Below are 7516 nucleotides of genomic sequence, written 5' to 3' on the forward strand. Positions count from 1 at the left end.
TCTGGGACCTGCATAAATGCACAGATAAAGACTGAACTGAACTCATGACTCAGCATCAAGTACCTAGAGTCAAAATTCTAGCTCAGGCACTAGCTGTGTGACCTTGGACAAGTTACTTAACTTCTCTGACCTTCAGTTTCCTCCTTTGCCACCTGGGATTGGTAATATAACTCACAACTTATGGATTAAGTGAGATAATGTACTTGAAATCACTTGGCACACAGTAGATGCTCAATCATGGTTGTATTTCTTTTTTTTTTTTTTGAGATGGAATTTCACTCTTGTTGCCCAGGCTGGAGTGCAATGGTGTGATCTCGGCTCACCGCAACATCTGCCTCCTGGGTTCAAGTGATTCTCCTGCCTCAGCCTTCCTGAGTAGCTGGGATTACGGGCATGCGCCACCATGCCCGGCTAATTTTGTGTGTTTAGTAGAGACAGGGTTTCTCCATGTTGGTCAGGCTGGTCTCGAACTCCCGACCTCAGATGACCCACCCGCCTCGGCCTCCCAAAGTGCTGGGATTACAGGTGTGAGCCACCGCGCCTGGCCCATGGTTGTATCTCTTAATGTAACTTAGTTATTGCTTCTGTTTCTTGTTCTTCTGCTTTCGTCAGTCCCTTCTGGTTCCGCATGATTCTTGCTGAACACACTGGTAGTCCCTGGTCATTTCATTAACTGCTGCACATAGTTTTGAAATATTTATTTATCTATTTGTTGCCTCTTTAGTGATAGAATTAGAGGTGGTATTTAGATTTATGCCATCTTCCAAAGAACTCCTTATGAACAAGCTGTAAAATTAACTTGTCTGACTCGGGAACATGTTGTTTTTGCCTCGTCAGTTGCTCTCAACGGAGTCCTCCCTTTCTTCTCTGTGTCAGAAGTAACATAATGGCAGATATGCATGAGTTCTCTGGAGAACAAAGAGGGACTTCACAGAGCTCAATTTGGGAGAATACACAAGTGTTGTCATAGAGTGATAGTCTCATCACACTTGCAAGTAGAAAATGAACTGGATACCAGATGAAGTGAGGGAATTTGGGGGGAGATAAACTTTCCTCCAAAGTGAACAAAATGAAAAGGCCTGCAGCCAGGCAGAACTGGGCAGAGAATTCTATAGATGCGGTGTGCAAGTTAATTAACCATCCACCCCCAACTTCTGCCACTGCCACCTTGGCCACCACTGTAGATGATTACTCTGAACTCCTGAGGGCAAGGTTAGTTTACTGGGAACTTATTTTCTTTTCCTTGTCTTTTTTACTTCTTTTTTTCTCTCTTTTTTGGTTTAATTTAGGGGTGGGAGTCATAAGTACCTCAGTCCTTGAGATCTCTAATAGCTTTTTAGGGATCAATAATTCTTCATTCAACAAACATGTATTGAGTAACTGTATGAAATAGACAGATCCTGGTTCACCCAAGTAGTCAGCCTTGCGGGTGACAAACTGATTCCCTGATGGGTTGCAGGGAAACTCTTTTCTTCTACTTTTAACCTTATCGACTTTTTTTTTCTTCAGGTACTATGGTGAATACATCAGTTCCAAATTCCAAGTCGGTCCAATTCAATTCCAAATCTTGTGTGAGTGTATCTAGTTAGGCAGAACCTAATTCAAATCCAGAACTGGGCCAGGCACAGTGGCTCATCCTGTAATCCCAACATTTTGGGAGGCCAAGGTGGGCAGATTACTTGAGCCCAGGAGTTTGAGACTAGCCTGGGCAACATAGTGAAACCCCATCCCTACAAAAAAAAAATACAAAAAATTAGCCAGGCGTGAAGGCACACACCTATAGTCCCAGCTACTGGGGAGGGTGAGGTGGGAGGATTACCTGAACCCAGGAATTCAAAGGCTGCAGTGAGCCATGATGGTACCACTGCATTCCAGCTTGGGCAACAGAGTAAGACCCTGTCTCAAAACAAAAACAAAAACAAATCCAGAACTCTACTAGCAAGAAAATTCAGAAATCAATTTTTAGCTTTTGAGTCTCTCAAGCTACAAGGAGGCTGGAGGGAAGGCTGAGTGAGCCATTCCAGAGTGTATGGCACATTAGTGTACCCTAGTCATATGAAGAAGATGGGCTTTGAAATAGGCCTCCGAAATGTGTAGGATTTGTTTTAAGAGGGACTCTTTTAGGGAAGAGAATTCCTGGTGGGTAGAGAGGAAAATTAAATAGAGATAATAAGAATAGCTTAGCTGAACTGGACTGGAGTGGGCATGCTGGGAAGGCATGAGGTGGTTGGGAACCGAGAGGACTCTTTAGGGGAGACTGAACTTGATCTTCTAGGCAGGGGAGTGGAGGAGACATTGAAGTTCATTAAGCATGGGAGTTTGAAGACTGTAAGTTAATGCTACCATTCCTATTATCTTAATCAGTCTATACCTATTAAGTGGTGATCTCTACCGTTCAACTTTTCTCTAGTTCTTTAAATCTATCAGTAAGTTACTACTATGATAATCACTGATATGAGTTTCCTGGATGAATATATTGAGTTTACTGGTGTAATATATTTAGAATTAGTATGCAATCCTGAGAAATAGAGAAATGCTTGAAAAAGCTAGAGGATAATGATTTCTACCCTAGAATTCTATACCTAGCCAAACTATCAATCAAGTATATAGGCAGAATAATGACATTTTCATTCATATGAGAGCTCAAAAAAAAATTCACCTCCCCCTTATCTTACATATATTTTTACCATGATGCTTCTGAAAAAATAAACCAAGAAAAAAGAAGACATTGGTTGCCAAAAACAGGGAATCTAATACAAGAGAAAAGCTGATAGAATCACCAGAATAATCCCAGGAACAATTCCAGGACAATAACTCTACAATAGGTTAGGAAATAACCTGCCCAGATTGAAGCAGGAGCAGAGAGAGCTATGAGATGCAAGTCTCTAGGAAAAAAAAAAATAAAATGGATAAAATATTTTGAACATACTGAGAGAAGATTTACAACGTTTAGGGTTGAATTAGTGTTAAGTATGTCAGAAAACTGAGCAAAAGGGAGAGAATTATTAACTCTACTGGAAACAAAGAAAGGAAATACGAGAAAGGAAATATAATCATAGACTACACACAGCTCCACAGGAAATGATATTTTCATAATCATAGCAATATAAATGATAAATATTGACTCTATGGGAAATTAGGATACAACTATGTTGTAAGCACCAGGCCAGAGAGGGTGTTGGTAGAGAGGGAGCAGAGGTGAATGGGGTGGTAAGGGGATGTAAGAAAGCCAGCTCCTCATCTTCCTGAGTAGGAAGCTAGTAGACAGTGTCTAAAATAGGAAATTCTAGAAATAACAGCACAAGCATGTCATTTAGCAATATGGAAGTAAATAATAGAAGAAGCTGCTAAAAATGTGAAGTGGTGGCCTCTGGAAAATGTGAAAAGGGAGTTGGGTAAATCCTTCTAGAATCATATTTTTAAAAAACTTTTTAAACTATGTACTGTTTAACTTTGATAAAAAATAATGTTTTGCAAAGGTTTACAGTAAATGCTCAAGCTTAATTCTCCAATCACAGTTTTCCTGTCACCAATCCCTGCGAGTCCCGAGACCTGTCTATCTACTAGCTACCAGCTACTTGCTGGCCATTTCTATCAAACCACAGCCTCCCGCTGGCAAATGGGTAGCTCAAACTTTGTTGAATTCTGTATTTGCTGCAAAATCAGAAGCTTCAGGAATCTCTTAAAACATGACTATTACCAGTGACCTTAGCTTGTTGCGTGCAGCCAAGGGACGACAAAAAATGGCATGAAGAAAGCAAGCCCACAGTAGTAACAGATGTTTTTCTTTTAAAGAGCCGCTTGGGTCATTATATACCTTAGCTGGGGACAAAGCATCTTAAAAACATTGTAAATGTGGGAGGAACAAAGATATAACACATTCTATAAATTAATTTTAGTCCGTGGCATAAAATTATGCATCCTATCCCTTCAAAACAGGCTGCAAAAATAATGGGTAATTGCTCAAGGAAACCAATAAATAGCTGCTCCTGGGCGAAAAATCAGGAAAACTGTGTCATATTGTCAAACCTTCCTCTAGCTGTGTTCTATCTTTCTGTAGTTCCCTTGGATGGCGTGACTTTGGGAAGAGGGGGAGATAATCATTGTTGTTCAGGAGGGAGGGAAAGCTATTTGTTCAATATCAGAAATTTAGAAAAAGTGTTTCATTTTCTGAGCTCCTCATTACTAATGTATTAAATTCTCTGAAAAATTCCCTTCATCATTTTCTGCGATTTTTAAAATGCAGCATAAAGCTCCAGTAGAAGGCAAAGATGTTTCCTTGTCTGAATTACTGCCACCGTGAAATAGATTGAAAAAAATATATCATTTTGTATCAACCAGTAGCATCCCCGTCCACGGAGGGGTGTCTCCTAAAGCCATCGAGATAGCATCAGGGTATTAATCATTTCTGGGACAGTGAGAGCCCCAACACCAGCCAGCACCCACAAAGACTGCAACCCCAGGGCCAGCTGCAGCCATCCGTGACAATCTCAGAGCTCTGTGACCATGAGCACATGGTGACTGACTCCTGATATTTGACTAAAAGGCTACTGCCAGGCACTGCGGCTGAGTGGGACCCAACTCCTCAAAGCTGGAGACTCACAAAGCCCTGGTCATTGCTAACTGTCAGGAAGGCTGGAAATGGAGTGGGACAGACACGTGGGATTGCTGCAAAGATACCCATATACCATACCAGTGTGCGCTAAATCTGCATAATCAAATATCTCTTTTGTGGATACACACTATGTGCAGGCTGGCCTCACGTGAAGCTGTAAGGCATAGTGGTTAAGAGCGCAGCTTTAGGGTGAGAGTGGTTTCAACAGTCAGCTGACAGTTCCTTAACTTCTCGAAGCCCGTTTTCTCATCAGTAAAATAGGGATAATAATACTGCTCACCTCTGAGGGTCTTGTGAAGATTAAATGAAGACCTGATGCCCCGAATAAAAGTGATTCAAGTAGAGGAATATCTGATTGAATTGTTTCATTTCCATGGGGGAAATCTTCAGTGTTCCACTCTCCCTGCCTCCTTCTAGCCCCAGGGAAGATTCTGGAAGAACCCTCCCAATTCATTCAGAGCCCAACCATGGTTCCCTGAGGTAGTGCTCTCTTGCCTGCCTGCAGCTCACTGTGTGACCAGAGCTCAGGGGCCAGTGGTGTAGGGTGAGAGATTTTCTTTTTTGTGCCAGCCAATGAAACAGACTTTAGAATCCAGCAGCCCCTGGGAGGAGGTAGTGATTTACCATCAAGTCGGAAGTCTTTCTCATCCTTCGTTACCACGGAATCCCTACATCCCACACTTTGCGGGTAGGGGTTATTGGCCTCATTGTACATAGGAGGTTAGGGTTACGGGATATAAGGTGACACAAACTAGTTAAGGCTATGCAATCTCTCAGCTTCTTGGCTAGGGGTTTTCCCACCACTTGGACCAAGATATGCATCCAGACCCTTTCCCATCACAGGCAGTCTGGGCTGGGATTGTAAAATGAATTCACATGTAGTTCCTGCTATCAGGCAGTTTGCAGTCCCCAGGTGAAATAAAACACACATATGTTAAAAGGTAGCTGACCAATTATTACTCAGTAAATCATTGGAGTCTCACATGAATGATGTGTCGCTGGGGATACAACAAGGTGCCACTCCTCTGCCCTCGGGAGCTTATGTTCTAAATTATCCAAAGAAGGCCGCAGGCAAGTGTGAAAAGAGGGTTAGATGGTGGACAGGACAGGGCACAGACAGGGCTTGCAGGGGCTGGGGGAGTCAGGAGACAGCACAGTTTGAACTGGGCTTGGACTAACAGCTGAGTGGAAAGAGGCCTTCTGGGGTTCCAGACGGGAAGAAGATAAGCGGGTGTGGTGAGCCACGGGTCCACCTTCCGGGACCAGAAGGGTCCTGTGAGGAAGAAGTGGACGATGAGTGAGGAAAGGTAGTTGGGGCCAGACTATGGAAGTAATAGAGAGGGTCTTGATGTTTGCCAACATGAGAGTGGAGTAGGAGGAGGACTCAGAAGGTGATGGCAGCACAGAGGCCAGGTGTGAAATGATGTCAGAGGAAGGAGTTGACGAGGCCCTGGCCAAGCAAGAGCCGTGGTACAGTGGAAGTAAAGGAGAGGTGAGTTTATGCTTGGTAATCAAGAGATAGACCCGAGTGGCAACCCCAGGTGTGATCCTGGGCAAGTTACTTTACCCCAGGCGTGATCCCAGGCAAGTTACACTCTGAACCAGGTACATACCTGCCTCAGAGGGCTGCTGTGACACTTACGTGGGATAAAGCATACCGAATGCTTAGGACAGTGCCTGGCCTGTTGCAGCTATTATGACTATTGCCAGTACCACTGCTATTGTTATTATTATTTTTGTTAATGTGAGGACAGACAGAGGTTAATGACATGAGACTAAGGATCTGTGAGACTGAGAAATAGGAGATTCATAGACAGGATGGTGGCTGGGGCAGAGATGGACAGCCTCAGTGTGCCCTGTGGGGAGGTTTGGTGGGGTTGAATATTCCCCAGGCCAGAGCCCTTGGGGGCTCCTCTGCAGAGCAGAAGCCCCTCCCTGGTCTCAAGCCCTCCTTTCCTCCCTCCCACATCCCACCTGCCTCCTGCTTTTAGAAATCAGGCTTCGTTCCCTGTGGGATGAGCATGTGTCTTCCTGGGGAAATCGAATTCTACCCAGAAAGGCTTCACCCTTTCTAACTCCTTCTCCCCACTCGAGACTAAGGGAGCGAGAGGATCGATGAAACAACCTGCATACTCAGAACCAAGGCAGCCCCTCGCTCAGCAGCGCCGCGCTCAGAGGCAGCTGGAGCGCCAGGCCGAGGGCTTTCCCTGTGAGAATCAGTTTCAAATATGAGGTTGATTTTATTTTCCCCGGTTGCAATTAACTGAAAAAAATATTTCAAAGCTGTATAATTAAAGGCCGGCATTTTATTAGGGTTTAAAATAGTCGCTATGAAATTTGCTCCTGCCATTGGTAATTACAACGTACATCTTAATATCCCCCTGCTTGCCAGCCCCGAGATAACAGCGCTGTGTGTGCTGCATTTGGCTTTGCAGAGAAGGTAAAATCCTTATCTTATCTCCATCTGCACACAACAACCAGCCTCTCTTCCAATTCAACCCTAATCTTCTTAGTAAATAATACTGATATTTTTCACCATAACAAAATGGAGCTGGTGCCAGATTCTCACTGATAACACCTCTCGTTTACACACCATTCTCTGTCAAAATCGGCCCGATTTTTCTTAATCTCTTTAACTTATCAAAAAAAATACTTTTTACATTTGGCCATAGTAAGTTCTTTTCTACCAAATAATAATATTATAAATAAATCCCTTTGCCTACAGCTGACTCATTGAAAAGATACTCAGCCTCCTCATTTTCTTCATGAATGGAAATTGTTCTGCTCTTCAATTTTCCTCCCAAGTTTGGGGTCCACACCAAGGGAATTGTTCCCAGGCAGGCCCTGAGCCATCTTTGTATCTTGCAGGGGGTCATCTTGGTCCAGGATGTGCATGCTTCT

General features: G+C 43.5%; 1 annotated feature.

Annotated features, from left to right (window-relative positions):
• Positions 6577 to 7303: an enhancer, noted in NCBI's record as "VISTA enhancer hs149". NCBI's record gives its function as "enhancer in: midbrain (mesencephalon)[7/10]" and the evidence as "EXISTENCE:transgenic organism evidence [ECO:0001131][PMID:17130149]".

Source organism: Homo sapiens, chromosome 2, assembly GCF_000001405.40.
Source record: "Homo sapiens chromosome 2, GRCh38.p14 Primary Assembly".
Lineage (NCBI taxonomy): Eukaryota > Metazoa > Chordata > Mammalia > Primates > Hominidae > Homo > Homo sapiens.